At 37.9% G+C, this 21,389-nt stretch overlaps 1 protein-coding gene across 1 annotated transcript in view; it reads right to left on the reverse strand.

Moving 5' to 3' along the window:
- Positions 1–21,389, reverse strand: part of ROCK1 (Rho associated coiled-coil containing protein kinase 1) — a 164,908-nt gene that overhangs the window by 22,612 nt on the left and 120,907 nt on the right. Inside the window, exons 19-23 of the mRNA NM_005406.3 lie at positions 17,433–17,593; positions 14,834–15,018; positions 13,246–13,315; positions 10,393–10,487; positions 831–996 (exon numbers count right to left, since the gene is read on the reverse strand). Of these exons, the coding sequence (NP_005397.1) occupies positions 831–996; positions 10,393–10,487; positions 13,246–13,315; positions 14,834–15,018; positions 17,433–17,593 (677 nt within the window). The remainder of the gene's footprint in view (positions 1–830; positions 997–10,392; positions 10,488–13,245; positions 13,316–14,833; positions 15,019–17,432; positions 17,594–21,389) is intronic.

The raw sequence follows: 21,389 nt of genomic DNA on the forward strand, positions 1-21,389 counted from the left end.
TATGTGACCCCGAGCAAGTCATACTTTTTCTGGACTTCAATATCTTTATCTGAATATTGATGATGAAAACGATAATAAAAACATTTATTTATAGATTACTTTTAGTAATATATAATCATTACTTGTTATATGTTATATTAATCATTCTATGTCTACTGTCTTATTTAATCCTCATAACAATCATGTGGAAGAGATATTACTATTTCTATTTTATAGATGAGAAATCTGAGGCTTAGAGAAGTTAAAGCCAACTTTGCCAAGACCATATAACTTCTTAGGGGCAAAACTGGAACCCAGAGTGACTGATAGTGGCTTTACAAGAAAAATCTAACTCCTCTTTTTAGTCGCATGATTCTATATAGATTACAGTATAAACCTCAGGAATAGGTAATTGTTTGGAGTATTGGTTTTCTTATAATGGATTTATATATTATCCCAAGAATTCCTCATTCCCAAATGGTTTCTCTATATTTCACAGAATTCTGGCCCATAAAATCAGTTGCAATGTATTAAGAGAACAACAAATGAATTTAAGCTAAGCCATTACTTCATATGAAATATAACTAATAAGATCTACAGCCAGAAAAACAGCCCAATATTGCATTGGTTCTGTGCCTATACAAACAAAAGCCCAATATCTTGAACAAGAATTTCAATAATTAACAAATGTTTGGTATTATACAAACTATTTTATACATGAGTACAGAATGACCACTATGTATTAACATAGAAGTAAATACACTTGCACACACACTTACCCTAATATTTTAAGATGTGACCTATTGTGATTTAAATAAATTTTATATAACTTACCTGACTATCACACTTACCCGACTAACAGTGTGATCTTTATCTGTAATCTCTTGTCTATTTCTTGAAGCAGCTTTCTTGCTTTCTTGCGTCAATTCAAAATACTGTTCTTCCAGAAGGCCTCGCGCCAACTGCTCAGACTCAGCTTTTGTTTCTGCTAGATCCAACTGAGTAGCAAGAGTTTCTCTGCAACAATTTTTTAAGAGAAACTGATGTAAACAAATTCAGTTCATCCTTCCAACTTAATCATATTCTTAAAAACACAATTAACTTTAAATGATAAAAAGAATTATTTTATTGCTTAAAATAAATTTAAATCCATTGCAAACTTTCTATAAAAGTAATGAATTTAACCTCTCACATGTTGAAAAATTATAAAAGAACTATTTAGTTTTCTATCCCATATTGTGCTTAACTAAAAAAGGTCATAAAGCAATAGCAAATAGTCTGCTTTTGAAAAGAAATTTCTTGCAGATTTGGAATGGAAGGCAGCGTGGCATAGTGGAAAAGTCATTGACTTGTTAATCAGCAGGCTAGACCCAGAACTTTATCTCTGTTTTATCATTAACTAATTGAGTAGAGACACTGGGCAAGTCCCTTACACTTCCTGCAGTTCAGTTTCATCAAATCTGTAAAATGAGATGGTTAAACTAGTCCCTTCCAGCTCTGAAATTAAATGAGATTATGAAAACTTATAAGAGATTTGCAAATCACTACAAACTAATCTGAGAATGCTCCCTGGAAATGATACTAAAACATTTCAGAACTGACATTCAGACCAAGACAACTCCAGTTTGCCTACTCTTCTCAAAGAGCCTCTCTTGGATAAGCTCTCTTAGTCACTACTGTATTCCCTGAACAGAGTAGGTGCTCAATAAATATGTTCTGAATGAGTAACTTCCACCTCCTATTTTCTAGTGAGTATTACAATTCAAATTTTCTGCCTGAAGCCTCAAGAGGGAGACATATAGTAAACATACACACACACACACACACACACACACACACACACACACATACACACAGAAAATTCATTAATTCACCCAACAGCTATTTACTTGAAGGTTTACTAAGTACTACACTATGTTTACTATGCATCACGCTGTTCTAGGAATTAAGAGATACAGCAGGCCGGAAGCAGTGGCTCACCCCCATAATCCCAGCCCTTTGGGAGGCTGAGGCGGGCAGATCATGAGGTCAGGAGTTGGAGACCAGTCTGCCAACGTAGTGGAACCCCATCTCTACTAAAAATACAAAAAATTAGCCAGGTGTGGTGGTGTGTGCCTGTAATCCCGGCTACTTGGGAGGCTGAGGTGACAGTGCAAGACTCCGTCTCAAAAATAAATAAATAAATAAATAAATAAATAAATAAATAAATAAATAAATAAATAAAGAGACACAGCAGTAACAAAGTTCCTGCCCTCAGGGAGCATGCATTAGTGGGGCCGTACAGGCAATTTAAAAAATGAACAAGTGCTATATAGTATGCCACAGAGAATAATACAAGATAAAATATGGAAAGTTATGAATATGATCACTTTTATTACAGGTTGATCAAGGAGGCCTCTCTGCTAAGACAACAGTAGAAGAAAAGTAGGGGGAAGAGAACAACAGATACTGTAAGGCTTTCCAAGGCAATACAAGGACTTTGACTTTTATTCTGGTACTCTGGTGTTTTAGAAAGATCATTCTGGCTGCTGTATTAAGATCAGACAGTAGGGGGACAATGGCAGAAGCTGGGATACCAGTTAGGAGACTACTGAAATAATCAAGATTGGAGATGATGGCAGTTTGGACCAGGTCAGTAAATGGTACAAGTGGTGAGAAGTGATTAGAGTCTATACATAATTTTTAGTTAACACTGGGAAAATTTGTTGGTGGACTGCATTTAGAGTGTAAGAAAAAAAGAAGAGTCTAGGATGACTCTAAATTTTTCACTTAAACAACTAGGAATAACAGAATTGTTCAGGACTGAAATGAGGAAGACAGGAAGGAGCAGTTCGCAAGGTCAGGGAATCAGGAAGTTTTTCTGGACACGTTAAATGTGGGGTGCTTAACACTCAAGCAGAGATGTCAATTAGACAGCTGGATACGTAAGTCTGGAATTCAAGGGAGGATGTACTTGGACTCTGACACCATTTAAAGCCACAAGGCTGGATGAGAACAAGTAGGGAGTAATCCCTTGAGCACTCCAAACTTTTAACGGTCTCAGCAATTAGAATGGAAAAAGGAACAAAGGAGGCTGAGAAAGAGTAGCCAGTTCAATAAGGAAAATACAGCATGTGGTGTCACAGAAGCCAAATGAAGACATTTTCTCAAGAGAGTAATCAACTAAGTCAAATCCTGCTATGAAATAAGGTGAGAACTGAGAAGTCACTATTAGGAAGACCCCACTGACCTTGAGAAGAGTTGTTCTGTTAGCATGATGAATGCAAAAGTATGACTGGAGTGAGCTCAAGAGAGAATGAAAGAAGACGGTGGAAGATACCTGGTATGTCACTTTTCAAGTAAGTTGGCTATAAAAAAAAGAAAAGTGGGATGGTGGCTACCATGTAGATAATGTAGTTAAAAGACGCAGTTTCGCTCTTGTTGCCCAGGCTGGAGCGCAATGGTGTGATCTTGGCTCACTGCAAACTCCGCCTCCTGGGTTGAAGCAATTCCCCTGCCTCAGCCTCCCGAGTAGTTGGGATTACAGGCATGTGCCACCACGCCCAGCTAATTTTGTATTTTTAGTACAGATGGGGTTTCTCCATGTTGGTCAGGCTGGTCTTGAACTCCCGACCTCAGGGAATCCACCCGCCTTGGCCTCCCAAAGTGCTGGGATTACAGGCGTGAGCCACCACGCCCGGTGTAAGAGGGTTGTTTTTAGAGGAGATATCTAAATATGTTTACATAACAATGATAATGACTACAAAAAGGTAAAAATTGATGTAGAAAAGATAAGAGAATTGTTGGAATCATAATTTTTTTTGGAGACTCAGTCTCTGTCGCCCAGGCTGGAGTGCAATGGCGCAATCTCGGCACACTGCAATCTTCGCCTCCCAGGTTCAAGCGATTCTCCTGCCTCAGCCTTCCAAGCAGCTGGGACTACAGGCATGTGCCACCATGCCCGGCTAATTTTTGCATTTTTAGTAGAGACGGGGTTTCACCGTGTTAGCCAGGCTGGTAGCGAACTCTTGACCCAAGTGATCCACCCACCTGGGCCTCCCAAATTGCTGGGATTACGGGCATGAGTCACCACACCCGACCAAGTCATATTCTTAAGTAGGCAGGAAGAGATAGGATCGAGGGACTAGCATTAGATAAGAGCGTTAGCTCATGATGTCCATTTACATCATCAGAAGGAAGGCAGGGTTTATAGGTACTATTCTCTACTTAGAAGCTATTCTCACCAAGATAATGAGTAGCCTTCAAAATAAATACAATGGACAATTTATGACTTTTTTGTGACCTTTCTCAATATTTGGCACTTTTTTTTTTTTTTTGAGATGGAGTCTTGCTCTGTCACCCAGGCTGGAGTGCAGTGGTGTGATCTCGGCTCCTCCCGGGTTCACGCCATTCTCCTGCCTCAGCCTCCCGAGTAGCTGGGACTACAGGCGCCCGCCCGTAATTTTTTGTATTTTTAGTAGAGACGGGGTTTCTCCATGTTAGCCAGAATGGTCTCGATCTCCTGACCTCGTGATCCCCCCGCCTCAGCCTCCCAAAGTGCTGGGATTACAGGCGTGAGCCACCGTGCCCAGCAATATTTGGCACTTTTAATCACTTTCTCTTTCTTGAAATATCCTCCTCCCCCAGTTTTTGTGATACTCTACTCTGATGCAGACAAGTTAGTAGCTATGGTGGTGAAAGAGAATAGATGTTCTCTTCTGATTTTTAGGAAGCAAGGCCATTAGCTAAGTACAAGAATAAGGAAAAGCTGGAGATCTGAGTAGAGACGAGATGTGAAATAATTTTCTTAGGAGAGTAGTAGAGTTAGTACTTTAGGAAAAGAAAGGATATGCTGCCAATGCCAAATCTAAGAATATTGGGAGTGGTTCTGCTAGCTACTATAATACAGGGCTTCAGGTTCACGACATGTTCTTATCTGGAGTTTCTGCTTTGTGTTAAGATAAAAGTATCTGGGTTATACTTTAAGACACCAGAAAACCTATTTAATCCAGAATATATTTCTATCCCTGGTTATGCTACTGTGCAAGAGAAAAAGCAAGAAAGAATTAGATGGTTCAGGGTAAAATTACCTGCATCTATACATTCATCCAGACTTCCTTTACAACTCTCCATAATGAAAGACTGTCTTTACTAATATTTAAGGTCAATCTCTCACCCTTATTCTCCTACCTCTTAAAAGAATTCAATAATCAATAATTCCATATTCTTCTGGATTATAAGATTATAAAGAATGGCTTTGTTCTTGTTTACAGGTATATTTCAAATGCCTAGAAAATTCTCTGGCCCATAGAATGCGCTCAGAAATTTTATTTATTTGAATGAATAGATGTGGGGCTGTTCCTACTCTGATCTCCTTCCCATGCTCCATTTAAATATGCTCAAGTTTACACTACTGTTAAAAAGAAAGTGCTCTCCTTCACACTCTCCTCTAGCTACTGCTACATCCCCTTGCCATAACAGCCAAGTCTCCTGAATTGTTTAATTTAACAAACACTTGCTGAGCATCACAATGCTGCAGTTACAATTGTAGGTGCTAGACATACAGCAATGAATTGAACCTAAGAATGAAATATCTGAAAATTCCTCCTACCATAGAGCTTTGTTTCTAGCGGAAAAACAAAAACAATAAATACAACAGGTAAGAAAATTATATATTAGGAGGGAATAAGTGCTGCAGAGAAAAATAAAATAGGGAAGGATGAACTGGGCACCACGGTAGTGGGGTGGGGATGTTTGCAATTTAAAAAGCATATTCAGGGAAGGCCTTGTCAAATGATGTGGACCTGGAGAAGGGCCAAGGAGCAAGCCATGTAGATACTTGGAGGAAACTGTTCCAGGCAGAGAGAAGAGCAATGTACATACCTGGAAGTAGGAGAGTGACTAATTGGTTTGTTGAATAGAAATAAGGCTAATCAGGCTGTTAGATATACTCTGTCTCTTGTTTTACCCTTTCCATTCAGTCTCAATCTACTTTAATACCTATTCTCATCTCTATTTAGAAGCTGTTCTCACCAAGATAATGAATAACCTTCAATATAAATAAATGGACAATTTATGACTGTTTTTCTTGACCTTTGTGGGTATGTGGCACTTTTTAAAATTTAATTTAATTTTTATTTATTTATTCTTTTTTTGAGACAGTCTCACTCTGTTGCCCAGGATGGAGTGCCGTGGCACCATCTAGGCTCACTGCAAGCTCCGCCTCCCAGGTTCACGCCATTCTCCTGCCTCAGCCTCCCGAGTAGCTGGGACTACAGGCACCTGCCACCACGCCCGGCTAATTTTTTTGTATTTTCAGTAGAGACGGGGTTTCACCCTGTTAGCCAGGATGGTCTCAATCTCCTGATATTGTGATCCGCCTGCCTCGGCCTCCCAAAGTGCTGGGATTACAGGCGTGAGCCACCATGCCCGGCCAATATGTGGCACTTTTAATCACTTTCTCTTTCTGGAAATATTCTCTTACCCCAGCTTTTGTGATATCCTGCTCTGATCTTCTCTTACACTGTTGGTAGCTTATTGGTTTCCCTTCCTCTGCCCATTCCTTAAAAGTCTAGGAGCTAGTAGTCTTTCCTCAGCCTTTGTGTCTTCTGATCCTACACTATGGATTACAATTTGCTACCTGAGAGGACCAAATGAGCCTACAACAGTGCCCCCTGCATCTATATATTCATCCAGACTTCCTTTACAACTCTCCATAATGAAAGACTGTCTTTAATAATATTTAAGGTCAATCTCTCACCCTTATTCTCCTACCTCTTAAAAGAATTCAATAATCAATAATTCCATATTCTTCTGGATTATAAGATTATAAAGAGTGGCTTTGTTCTTGTTCACACAGGTATATTTCAAATGCCTAGAAAATTGTCTGGAGGGATCCAGACACACATACACAAACATACACCTAAAAGAGTTTTGGGTCAACCTTTTACATAAAAATTCAGATTCTTGGTTTCTCTTGAAAAATCAGAAGATCCTGACATACTGGGCCAGTGTTATCATGTGGTAACAAATGGCTGGAACTGAGAAGGCGAGATCTTCAGTTTGTTACAATCCTTACAACTTACATTAACGAATATATCTGCACTTAGACCCCACTAATTACAGCCTAGTTACACCTATGGCATCATAGGCTCATGAGTTTATAAACTCTGAGATACACAATCACCTTAACAGATCTCTATATTAGTGGTTTCTGTATGCAAAGACTATCAAATCAGCTTCAAGTTCTTATCTTTTATCTGCATTCTAAAGCAATAAGCCCAAATACAGTGGTATCCATTTCTGTTTGGACATCCCATAGGCACCTCAAACTCAATAGGCCTGAAATTAAAATAATCTTCTCTCCTCTCATCTCACAATTTTGGCATTCCTTAGCTCAGGGACCAGCACTACCATCAACTCAACAGCTCTGGTCAGAAACTTGGGAGTCAGCCTGAAAATTATCCTAACCTTTACCCCTATGCCTCCAAATCTACAAATCCTACTTCTTTTACTTCCTACTTCGTTTTATGCACTTGCCTCCTACTGCCAACTTCCACTATAATTTTACATCTAAGTTTTGCCAGCGGTTATATAATTGGGCTCCCTGCATCCACCCAGCTTTCCCTTACTTCAATTCATTCTCCACTCCTTAGAGTGAGTTTTCTAAAATACTTATCAGTCACTAGCTTAGGATTTTCATTTATTCATTCAATATTTATTGAATACTTATTCTCTGAAAGTCCCTGATTGGAGTGCTGGGAATAGACAATAGACAACAATAGAAGAAACAAAAGTCCCCACTTTTCAATATTTTAAACTCTTCAGCATGATACACAAGGTCCTTTGTAATCTGACTCAGTTTTCTCTCTCCAGCCTTATCTGTCACGAACTAACCATTTGCTGTTCCTCAGATCACAGATTGGCTTCTGCCTATATTGTCCCTTGTTCCCCACATCCCATTCCCTGGCTAATTCTACTTTCCATCGGTTGTGATCTCTGTTAGGAAATGTTCTCTGAATCCCACATGGTAAGATGAGGTATCCTTTGGCATAGCCACTATACCTTGATTATATCTCTCCTAACTTGATTCTGAAGCACCTGAAGAATCATAACTTACTAATAATTGGATAGCTGCACAAAGCACAGTACTTATAGCACAATACTGGTGATCCATATATTTGTCTTGAATAGATGAAAAAGGGAAAATATATCAACTCTGAAACAATATAGTATGGATTGAATATTTGGCACTTTTAATCACTTTCTCTTTCTGTTCCTCAGATCACTGATTGGCTTCTGCCTAAACTGTCCCCTTCACAGTGAATGCATACACCTGGGATTGCATATTGCACTGTGAATACCACACAAATGGTAGGTAACAGACTAGATTCTACAATATGACTATATCAGAGAATAACCAGGAAATGCAGCTTTGTGTCTACCTTAGCTTCCAGTTAATTAGGTTATCTAACTATGATACTTGGCCACCGAATTAGTATGTTTATACCCGCTGTGATGCTAAAATTTAAGATAATATACAGCTCTGCAACAAACTATTGTCAATTTTGGACCTTAAATATTTTAATCAATATAATCAACTCGATTAAGGCAACTTAATTGCAAAAAGATGCAATTATACTTAATTGTAATCAAGTCAACAAAGTTAAACAACAAAAAGTCTAAGTTTATTTATAAAACTAGTGAAAATAAAAGTTATGTATTCCAACAAAAAAAAAAAAAAATGAAGAATGATAAAAGTGAGTATCTCCAGTTTGCAACACCTAATGTATTAAGGATCTAACATTGAATGCCATAGTGGTTAACAACAGAAATAGGCAACCAGAAAGTACAAGGCTATATATGAATTAGTCTTCTTCCTCCTAAAAATCAGATTTGAATCTGATTAAGCTTCTAAATCAGAAATGTCCAATAAAACTTTCCAGGATGTCAGAAATGTTCTATATCTGTACCATCTATTATAATATGGTAGACACTAACTGCATGTGACTACTGAGCACCTGAAATACGACTAGTACATCTGAGGAACTAAGTTTTAATTTTACGTAATTGAATTTAAATTTAAGTAACTACATGTGGCTACTGGCCACCATATTGGGCAGAGGAGCTCTAGATACAACTACTGACTTCCAGGAAACATAAGGGAAATGGGGAATGTTCAACCAACTACAGAAATGCAATCAATAAAATCGCAACTGAGGGAACATCTACAGGACAAAAAAATCCAGTTTCTTCAACAAATTAGTTTTAGGATGGTGATTACTCTTGAGGTGGGGAGGAAAGAAGGCATAATTAGGAGGTGGGATATAGTGGGCTTCTGAAGTGGATAGCAAGGTTCTCTTTCATGGATGATGATGGTTATAATGACATTTGTCATAGTTCATAAGAACTGTATTAGTTTTGCTGTTTTCTGTAATTGTTTGTTTCAACAACAGTCTTTCAAAGGTGATTAAATGTAAAGAGAATATAACAATGTTGGAAAACTAGTTCTAGTGTCTGTTCTGACATTACCTAGCTATGAGATACTCCGCAGGAGTTACTATCTTGTTGCGCCTGTCAGCTGAATTCTAAAATGAAGCTGTTACACTTGAAATAGCTTTATAAGGTTTTCTCCTTGGAGATGGGGTCTCATTATGTTGCCCAGGCTGGTCTTGAACTCTTGGGCTCAAGTGATCCTCTCACCTTAGCCTCCCAAAATGCTGGTATTACAGGCATGAGCCACCATGCCCGGCCATAACCTGCATAGTAATCCTAAGAAGACCTTAAATACCTTTATCTAACTTAAAATAATGATTTGCAAAGACAGCATGATTTATATATAAATAGATCTTTTAAAATTGATACTAGCCCAGGCGTGGTGGCTAATGCCTATAATCCCAGCACTTTGGGAGGCCAAGGTGGACGGAATATGAGGTCAGGAGTTTGAGACCAACCTGACCAACATGGTGAAACCCTGTCTCTACTAAAAATACAAAAATTAGCGGAGCGTGGTGGCGCACGCCTGTAATCCCAGCTACTCAGGAGGCTGAGGCAGGAGAATCGCTTGAACCCGGGAGGTGGAAGTTGCAGTGAGCCGAGATCATGCCACTGCACTCCAGCCTGAGTGACAGAGCAAGACTCCATCTCAAAAAAAAAAAATTAAAAAAATAAAAATTGCAATACCCCTGAAAACAATTGTCAAACCAACTTTTTGTCAGTTTAATGAATCTCTGCAATTGGTACAGTGTTGATTTATAGCACTGTTTTTTTCACCATAAAGGCAAATTTCAGCCTAATCTGATTTGTTCTGAATTAGCCCAATAAACTGTGTTCTATACCATTCCCACCAGAATAATGGCACATCTATTCACTAACTTAAAACTTAAGAATGCCTGTTGCAGTACTGATTCTTGTTCTAAAGTAAAATGGACATACTTTTCATTTTGTAGTTCCTGTATTTTCTTTAAATTTTCTCTGTTTTTTTCTTCAATTTCTTCTTTAAGTTCCTTTACCTGGGTTTTATAAAGTGTCTGCAAAACAAGTGACAAGGAGAAATAAGTGTTTATGGTGGGTTAAAAACAATTTGGCAGTTTCTTATAAATTTAAAAAATTAACATATGATCCAACAATTCCACTCTCAAGTATTTACCCATGACAAATGCAAATATATGTCAACACCTAGTCTTACACATGAATTTCCCTTATGGTTTTATTTATAACAGCTCCAAACTGGAAATGACCCAGACATCCATCAATACATGGGTTAAAAAAAAAACAAAAAACAAAACTGTGGTTAATTCATATTACTCAGCAATAAAAAGGAATGAACTACTGATACATACAACATGTAAATCTAAGAAATCTAAAAAATATGCTGAGTGAAAGAAACCACGTGTTAAAGAGTGTATACTGTGACTCCATGTAGATGAAATTCTAGGACAGGTGAAAATAATCAATAATCATGGAAAAACAGTCATTGTCTGTGTATAGAGGTGGGTGGGGAAAATGTAGAGTGAAGGGCCATAAGGGAACTTTTTGCAGTGAAAAAAAAATGTTCCACATGTTGACTGTGGTGGTGGTCACACAGATGTACATATTTGTCAAAATTTACTAACCAGTACACTTAAAATGGGTATATTATATAGAAATTATAGCTTAATGGCCAGGTGCGGTGGCTCACGCCTGTAATCCCAGCACTTTGGGAGGCCAAGGCGGGCAGATCACAAGGTCAGGAGATTGAGAGCATCCTGGCTAACACAGTGAAACCTCGTTTCTACTAAAAATACAAAAAATTAGCTGGGCGTGGTGGCATGCTACTGTAATCCCAGCTACTCAGGAGGCTGAGGCAGGAGAATCGCTTGAACCCAGGAGTGGGAGGTTGCAGTGAGCCAAGATCATGCCACTACTCTCCAGCCTGGGCGACAGAGTGAGATTCCATCTCAAAAAAAAAAAAAAAAAAGACATTATAGCTTAATAAAGTGTATTATAGATTTGGGAAGACGTTATAAAGAAATTTAACACATATTACTAATTTAAAGGTTAGATCAATTCTTGACTAATGTTAGAAAAATCACTTCTGTTTTGAGGGGTGGGATGTACTGGGTAGTTGAGAGACAGGTAAAGAAATATCCACAAAAGGGCCGGGCGCAGTGGCTCACGCCTGTAATTCCAGCACTTTGGGAGGCCGAGGCGGGCAGATCATGGGGTCAGGAGATCGAAACCATCCTGGTTAACATGGTGAAACCCCGTCTCTACTAAAAGTACAAAAAATTAGCTAGGCATGGTGGCGGGCGCCTGTAGTTCCAGCTACTCGGGATGCTGAGGCAGGAGAATGGCGTGAACCCGGGAGGCAGAGCTTGCAGTGAGCCAAGATCGTGCCACTTGCTCTCCAGCCTGGGCAAGAGGGTGAAACTCCGTCTCAAAAAAAAAAGAAATATCCACAAATAAGATTTATCAAGTATTCTGCTAACATATCTATAATATATGCTTATTTCAGAACAATGGCTCTTACAAAATTCACTAAGCTTTTGCCAACGCCAGTGAAAAATATTTAACACATCAGACTCATATTGTGTTAGTTGCTGAAGTTACAGAGTGAACTTCCAGTTCTGATGTCTATTTCTTTTTAACTACCCTCTTCATTTTAAAAGAAAAAGAGAAGGGAAAGAAATAGCAAGGGCCAGGAAACAGCTGTGGAGAACTACTTTTAACACTTATTTATTACACTAAGAAACAGCACTTTCCTAGGCAAAAAAATACATAAATGTCCATGGGAATGCAAATGAAAAAAGAATAAGGGCTTACTCTAGGTTAAGTATTTATAATTTCTAAAATTAATCTATTTGGCCTTTAGGACTCAGATTCTTATCTCTCTGACTTCAAATACTGAAATTCAAATAAGTAAATCAATGAAGGGATAAAAAGAAAAATAATCTGATTTGAAAACCCAGAAAAAAGACAAATCTTAAAATTTGGTTCATAACAGCTTATTGAATTGAATGCTATTTAATCCAATGCCCACAAGCAATGGAATAAATCAGAACTGAGATAGGGTCAGGTTTTGTACTATTTTCTAGAAGCAAAATCAAAAATCCACAAGAATCACCACAAGTCATTTGACACCCATCCAAACATTTGGAGGCACTGGATGACTGCTCTGTGGAAGCATATGGCAAGAAAGCATATGGGATGCTACCGATCACTTTGCAGAAGTTAGCAGTAGATACTTTGAATAATTACGTTTAGCAAACACTCAGGGAAAGAGTTTTCAACAATATTTAAAAGTCTTTCATTTTGTTTATGAGACAGAGTCTTGCTGTCACCCAGGCTGCAGCACAGATGACCTTGGCTTATTATAATGTCCAACTACTGGACTCAAGCAATTCTCCTGCCTCAGCCTCCTGAGTAGCTGCGACTACAGGTGCCTGCCACCACAATCGGCTAATTTTTGTATTTGTAGTAGAGACGGGGTTTCACCATGTTGGCCAGGCTGGTCTTGAACTCCTGACCTCAAGTGATCCACTCGCCTCGGCCTCCCAAAGTGCTGGGATGACAGGTGTGAGCCACCGCACCTGGCCTGAAAAGTTTTTACAATTTAAAAACATATACCAATGATAGCCTAATATGCCAAGAAACAAATGGACAAACAAAAAGCAGAAAAGTCACAATGTTTATTAGAAGATGAAGAGTCATTTGAAAAAGAATTACAGTTCACATAAAAGAATCTAAATACCTTGTTTTAAGTCAGGTTTTGAAACAGTGTGTATGTTAAAAATGATTCTCACTTACCGAGAAATATTGCTCAGCTTCAAGCTGATCTTGTAGCTCCCGCATCTGTCCTTCATTTCCTCTATACTGTCTTCAGATGAAAAGAAAAACAAGTGAACAAACGCTCCTACTTATACTAGACTTCATTTTTTCTTAGTTTGTTAAAGTTGCTAATATAAAAAAGTTTACTAAAACAATCTTTATTTTTTAAAAACATACTTCATTATTCATTATTTTACTAATTAACTTGGTCAGGCCACACCGGTTCTATCTTGCTCCTTATAAAATGACGCTATGCAAAAGTAGTGAGAACCCTTTTCTACTGATGATCACTTTTTGGAGAATATTAATTGTGGATCTATCCAAAATGAAAAAATAAAATTGATACCATATTTTTGGTAAATTTTTACAGAGAAAAGCAGTCATAGGGAAGAAAATGTCTTGTACAGTAAATAAAAAAAGAGGGGGGCATGAAAAATTTAATAATAATTCAGTGCTACATATCATAGTACTATATTTAATAAGTAATAATTCAGTACTGCATACTAGATATTATGGCCAATTAAGCACAAGAAAGGGGCTGGTGGAAATGAACCATCAGGTAAGAAGGGAAAGCAAGAACAACAAACTGACAAACAAGGAGGAACGCAGATAGACAACTGCATGTATATAATACATACATAAACACAACTCACATAGGAGCAGAGTCCAAAAGATGGAAACCCAATGTAACCCAAAGACACAGATTTTCAATAATTATTTACTGTATAATATGAAAGCCTAGCAGCTAGGCTTGAAAATCTAGCGGCTAGACTTTCATATTAGACAGTAATAGCTTTGTATTCTCAGTATCTCAAAAGGCATGTGGCTGACAGAAAGTCTACACCAATCTCCACTGAATGCTGAGCGAGAGTATTTTTGGAGAAAAAAAATATAAAACACACTTTTGCGAAAACGGTGGCCCTAAAAGAGGAAAAGAATTTCACCAATATAAATCCAATTTTATGAAAACTGACAATTTAATCCAAGAATCACTTTTGTAAATGAAGCTAGCAAGTGATGATATGATAAAATAAACGTGGAGGAAATAAAAACACAAGACTTGGCATAAGATATATCCACTTTTGATATTAAACTTGTGAAGCATATTCTTCGACAAATTGTGAAAGCGTTCCTGATCTTGCTTGTTCTCCATTTCAAATAAGGAGGCATATCACATCCCAAGAGTAACAGAAAAAGAAAAAAGACATTTTTGCATTTTGAGATGAACCAAAGACACAAAACAAAACGAACAAAGTGTCATGTCTAATTCTAGCCTCTGAAATAAACCTTGAACATCTCCTACAAGGCACCGTGATTTTTGTAATTCTAACCTGAAGAAATGTGATGACTTTTGTGGACATGAAAATCAGATGAGAAAACTGTGGTCTTTCCAAAGCCTGAACTCCCCTGAAAACCTTTGCAAGTAAATTCTTTTACTTCTAAATACTTTTTTTCTGTCTTTCACAAACTCTAAGTACATAATCTGTACATATGTAAAATGTCAAACACACAAGTCAATGATGAACACAAAAAAGAAAGAAATCACAATGTTATTTTAAAGACTTACTTCGTAAGCTGAGCTAACTCAAATTCTAATAATCTCTTTGCTTCCAATAAAGTATTTATTTCCTGTTTCATCTGCTTTTCTAAACCTTTTAAATTGTCTGCCTCAAATGCTTGAGTCTTCAATTCATTTTGTAACAACAGCCGCTTATTTGATTCCTGCTCCAGTTGCAGGGTTAGATTCTTAACCTATGAATGAGAAAAATAATTGGGATCTTAAATCTCTTAAATAATTTATTAGACATTATTTGAAAGACTACTAACCAAATCAAGTACATTATAATTCATGGTACTAGTAGAAAATATTAGTATTTTAAAGAGTCTTCATTGTTCCACGTGTTTATTACAGTAGATTTACTATTAAGTCAAATTAATTCCCAAATTTCAGACATGAGATCTTGTGGAGGGAAAAAAATTCTGGTTCCTTTCTACCCCAATCAGCATGAAAATTCTGTAGTACAAGGTGATTATAAAACTCACTTCTGGGCCAGGCACAGTGGTTTATGTCTGTAATCCCAGCACTTTGGGAGGCTGAGGCAGGTGGATTGCTTGAACCCAGAGTTTGAGACCAGCCTGGTCAACATGGTGAAACCCTGTCTCTACAAAAAAATACAAAAATTGGCCAGGCATGGTGGTACACTCCTGTAGTCCCAGCTACATGGGAGGATCACTTGAGCCTACGAGTCAGAGGTTGCAGTGAGCCGAGATCACGCCACTGCACTCCAGCCTGAGTGACAGTGAGACTCTGTCTCCAAAAAAAAAAAAGCCATTCCTGGGGGAACATTTGAATGGAGTACTTAAATTTACCTGTCTACGTGCTCTACTCTACAACCCTTCAAAGCTTAACCAAACAAACTGAACGTATGTTTTATTCAACTCAACAAATATTTCTGAAGTGTTTATTAGGTGTTGGGACCAATGAACTCAAAATTCATACAGTGGTTTACAATGGCCTTCATGATCTGTTCTAATTCTATTCCTATCATTGGCCATTCTCTACAATCCAATCATATTCTTCAGATCCTCAAATGCAACAAATTCTCCCTCACCTCACATTTCTTGTACGCACTACTCCTGTTTTATCCTCCTTCATTTATTCATTCTTCAGCTCTCAAATGTCATACTCTTAGCAAGGCCTTCTGTAACTCCCAAATGTGATTAGTAATACACCCCTATAGCATTCCGTACTTTCTTTCTAATTATTTGCAATGCTTGTAGTTACTATTTTAATATCTGTTTTTCCCTCCTGGCTGTAAGTTCCAACACAGTCAGGACCATACCTATATCTTATTCACTTCGGTAACCCCCAATTCCTAGCACAGAGCCAAATAGGTAGTCAAAAATTATGTTTTTTAAATGACTGAATATTATCTTTCAAATTTTGAACATACATTCCTCCTGCATGCTAGCTTTAATAGGTATCTCTAATTTCTCTTCTTTCTAGTCCATTCTATATACCACTACCAGATTGATTTTTCTAAAAGTGCTTTCACCTATAGCTCCCATGCAAGTTTTATTTTTTATTTTTTAGAGATAGGGTCTCACTCTGATGTCCAGGCTGAGTGCCATGGAGCAATCTTGGCTCACTGCAGCCTCGACCTCCTGAGGTGCAAGGAATCCTCCCACCTCAGCCTCCTGAGTAGCTGGAACTATAGGCATGCGACACCACACCTAGCTGATTTTTGTATTTGAGATGGGGTTTCACCATGTTGCCTAGGCTGGTTTCAAACTCCTGAGCTTAAGCAATGTGCCCATCTGCCCACCTCAGCCTCCCGAAGTGCTGGGATTACAGGTGTCAGCCAACGTGCCTGGCCACCCATGGAAGTTTTAAAGAGTATCGATACTTTGGCCTACAAATTTCTCCCATGACTACTCAACATGTCTTCGTTTTTCCTTCAAAAAGTTAAAGTTCTATCAAGTTCCTTTTTATGCCTTCCTTATGCATCTTCTTATCCAGCCGGTACTCACTTTATTATCCATCTCTTTACTGATAATATTCCCTCTAGCAAGTAAAGCCCTGACTCCAAAACTATTACCTTTTGAAGTCTTACTCAACCTTTAAAATCTAGGTAACATGTTACATCTTCTTGAAAAGGCTTTCCTACTTTCAGTCTTAGAAATAATTTCTAAAGTACATATAGTAACCACCAGGACATACTGTCATTTTATCTGTTTATTAACTGCTTTATAAAATGTATACCCTGTGCTATCAATCTAAGCCAGGAAAGACTGCAGTTAAACACTTTTATTGAAATCTAAGAGCAATGCTCTTTTCTTTGGGGATATAAGATGCATTATAATAAAGACTTTTTTTTTCTTTAAAGCAGATGGTCAGTTTTTTCAGGGAAGGAACTATGACATTTCAATATAGTTGTACTGTCATAGTGAAAAATGGCATAGATCACACAGAGTGAATGTTCAATAACTATTTGAAGAGGAAAATTCTAGGTGCTGGGGTGACCATACAGCAGTGAACACAGACCCATGTCAATTATTTCATTCAAATCTCCTTCATGGTGTTTAAATTATAGATAACTCCAGTCATAACTTATATAACCGTTTCTCTTTTAATAGATGAACAAAGTCAGTACTATTTTTCTTACTTCATCCTCCATCCTTTCTTTATTTCCAGTCAAATGTTCTAGTTTCTGCTGAGATTGCTTCAGATCAACGTCTAGCATGGAACACTGTTTCTCAATCTGAACAACCCGATTTTCAGCCTTCTCTCGAGCTTCTCTTTCTTCTTTCAGCTTTTTTTCCATCTCTGGGAAAGCAAAAAGTTACAAACATACATTTAAAGAAAGAGTACTTTAACACATTTCACTTTATATGGGCTGTAAACTGGTTTCAAATGTCTCTATTGTTTTTATTCTGGGACTTGAATAGAGCTAGTAATTATAGAAATTCTCACATTATGTAAACTATTTATATAGCAGAAATCTCTAAAGAAAAGGAGTTATAAAATATAATACAGTAATAAAATCTTCTAAACCCAGCTCTTGCCCAGTGATGAGAGATTAATCGGTACCACTTTCAGACAAGAAGGTGAAGAGTATAGCTAGAAAGGAAGTGAATTAACAAAGAACAATGAACATACATCAAGCAAAAGCAGAAAAATAAGGCTGTGGTTATTAATTTATACCCTGCATTGTTCCAGAAAAGGTTGAAGAGGCTTAAGGCTATGGTAGGAACTCCAATTTATACAATTCAGATGAATAAGATTCCACAGTAGTATACCTCTTTTAATTATTACTGGAATATATTAGTCTACACTGAGGCTCCTTTTTTGAAATATAACTAAGCTTCTGAGAGGTTAACTTTTCCATGTTCATGTAACTAGTAAGTTGCCCCATAAGGATTCAAGTTTATTTAAAGTGTGCTTTCCCACTCTTGGAGACCACCCTCTAGGTGACAAAATATAAACTATTAAATAAATATAAATAAACTATTCCTTATCTTTCCCCCCAAACTTACAAACTTAGCTGCACCAATAAAACTGTCACCTCTTAAGACCCTTCTGTTTAATCAAACACAAATCCATCCACTATGTTCTTCTGACTCTTGGTATCTCTCTCCTGAGCTCCAGACTTAGATACCAATTGACTATTTAACATCTCCACCTAGATATCTAATAATCTTATTAAAGTTAACATATCCACAATAGATGCCTTTACTTCTGGCCTATCCCCAAACCACTCCAACCCCAGTTAGACTCAGTCTTTTTTTTTTCTTTTTTTGAGATGGTGTCTCGCTCTGTTGCCCAGGATGGAATACAGTGGTGCAATCTCGATTCACTGCAACTTCCGCCTCCTGGATTCTAAGAATACTCCTGCCTCAGTCTCCTGAGTAGCTGAGATTACAGGTACGCACCACTACACGCAGCTAATTTTTGTATTTTTCAGTAGAGATGGGGGTTTCACCATGTTGCCCAGGCTGGTCTCAAACTCCTGACCTCAAATAATCTGCCTGCCTTGCCCTCCCAAAGTGCTAGCATTACAGGTGTGGGTCCCCGCACCCGGCCTCTTTCTATCCAATTCATCACTCTTCTCCTCTATACCTCGACTTCTTTCCCTCTCTACTACTACCAGTGTTTACAGCGTATAGCTTTCTAACTGATCTCCCTTTTTATCACTGTTCTCACTCTTGAAAGCATTCCCCACAGAGCAGCGGGAATGATCTTTTAAAAATATAAATTACACATCCCAGAAGCTTAAAATGTGCTAGTGGCTTAATACAAATCTTAGAATAAGAATACTGAACTTACTATCACTTCTGCCTGTAATGCACTTTCTCCAGCTCATTTAACAGGTGGTTCATTTTGACTTTCAGTTCTTACCTCAAATATTACTAGCTCAGAAAGCCTTCCTCAGAACCCCCATCCAGGGCAGTGCCAAGTCAAAACAATCATATTAATATGTATTTCCTTCCCATTAATAATTACAAGCTGTATGTATTTTCATTTATGTATTATTATTTTTTTTTGTCTATATTCACTATCTGAATGTAATCTCCGGGCTTCCTGTCAGTTTTATTCTCTGCGATATTCCCAGCTGTGCCTTGTCTGTAGGCAGTCAATAATTAACTTAAGTGAAGGAAATAAAAGAAGCTCAATATGGCTGAAGCACAGGGTACACACAACAAAGTGTAGGGTAGTAAGATTGTAAAGACAGGCAGGTGTCAACTTAAAGATTCTATATATACAAGGAGTTTGAAAGGTACCCTGCAAACAATGAAAAGCCACTAAAGGATTTTAAGGACAACCAAAATACGATTTGACTAAAAAGGAAAATTGTTCTAACCTAAGTGAGAATGACTGATGAGTAGAACAACTCTTGGCAAGATGATGATGTGATGTTCAGTAGCCAAGATAATAGCTACTGAAAACTTTCTATGCACAGGCACTTTACATGCATTTTTCATCTAACTTAGAATAGTTACAGAGCAACATTGATCTGTCTGATTCCAAAGCCTTAGCTCATAAAGACCATATGGCCATTAACTAGGTTAGTGAGAATAAAGAATAAGAGCAGGTTTGATGGATGAGATTATGAGCTTTCTTTTGAGCAAAAATAATTTAAGATGCCAACACATCCAGACTGTAGTAGGTTAAGAATAAGCAGAAGGTGAGGAAAAGACTTTTAGAAGTTTGGATATTTTTTAATTTTTTTCTATAAAGAATCTGACACCATTGAAGTTTGACTATTTTATTAATTTATTTGAAATAAAACAGTAGTAATTAGTAAGGATGACAGATTGCTGCATGGATTTGTCTCTGTTTTAAGATGGGAGACTTGTTCATGTTTACAGTAAGAAGATAATGGAGGTAAAAAGGTTGATATAGAAAAGAAAAAGAGAAAAGAAGTTAAGATGAGATGAGAGGAGCTTACCCTCCTTTAAGATAACAGTGAAGATAATGAAGACAGGTAAAGAATAGGATAGATTGACAAGAAAACTAGATTTTGAGGAGTTCACACCTATGCTTTCATTATTTACTTGTGAAATAAGAATAAAATTCACCTAAAACTGGAGTGATAAAGAAACGGCACAGGAAACTTAAGATAAATAAAAATCTGGGAGAAGAAACTTATGACCGATATGTTCAAAAAAAATTGACAGCCAAGCATGGTGGCTCATGCCTGTAATCCCAGCACTTTGGGAGGCCGAGGTGGAAGGATCCCTTGAGCCCAGGAGCTCAAGACCAGCCTGGACAACATAGTGAGACTCTTTCTCTACCAAAAATAAATAATTTTTAAAAATTGAAAAAAAATTGACAACTCAGGTTGCAGATAATGCATTGGACTAACACTCAACTGCCTGAAGAAAGTGGCTGGCTGGTCTGAACTAGGGTTGTGTTTGGAGGCATAACACAGTGGAAGTACAAAGAAATGAGAAAACTGAGGGTACAAAGCAAGATAGCAGATGAATTAGCAGATGATGAGGTCCAGAGTGGATCATAAAGAAAATCAAGGAAAGGGCTACTAAAAAACAGAGAAAAGACAGATTCCACTAACTTTTATAGGAAACAGAGTAGTAAACTGAGGGAACTAGAAGGTGAAATTGTGATCTTAAAAAATGGAAAGCATTGCCAGGCATGGTGTTTCATGCCTGTAATCCCAGCACTTTGGGAGGCCGAAGTCAGGAGTTCGAGACCAGCCTGTCCAACATAGTGAAACGCTGTCTCTACTAAAAATACAAAAATTAGCCGGGCATGGTGTCGGGTGCCTGTAATCCCAGCTACTCGGGAGGCTGAGGCAGGAGAATTGCTTGAACCTGGAGGCAGAGACTGCATTGAGCCAAGATCACACCATTGCACTCCAGCATGGGAGACAAGAGCAAAACTTCGTCTCAAAAAAAAAAAAAAAAAAAAAAAAAAAGGAAAGTATCAAAAGGAAGGCATCCTCTTCTTGATTATAATTTATAATTTCTTTCTCTGAGACACAGTCTCACTCTGTTGCCCAGGCTGGAGAACAGTGACACCATCTCGGCTCACTGCAACCTCTGCCTCCTGGGTTCAAGCGATTCTCCTGCCTCAGCCTCCCCAGTAGCTGGGATTACAGGCG

This window comes from Homo sapiens, chromosome 18 (genome assembly GCF_000001405.40).
Source record: "Homo sapiens chromosome 18, GRCh38.p14 Primary Assembly".
Taxonomy (NCBI): Eukaryota; Metazoa; Chordata; class Mammalia; order Primates; family Hominidae; genus Homo; species Homo sapiens.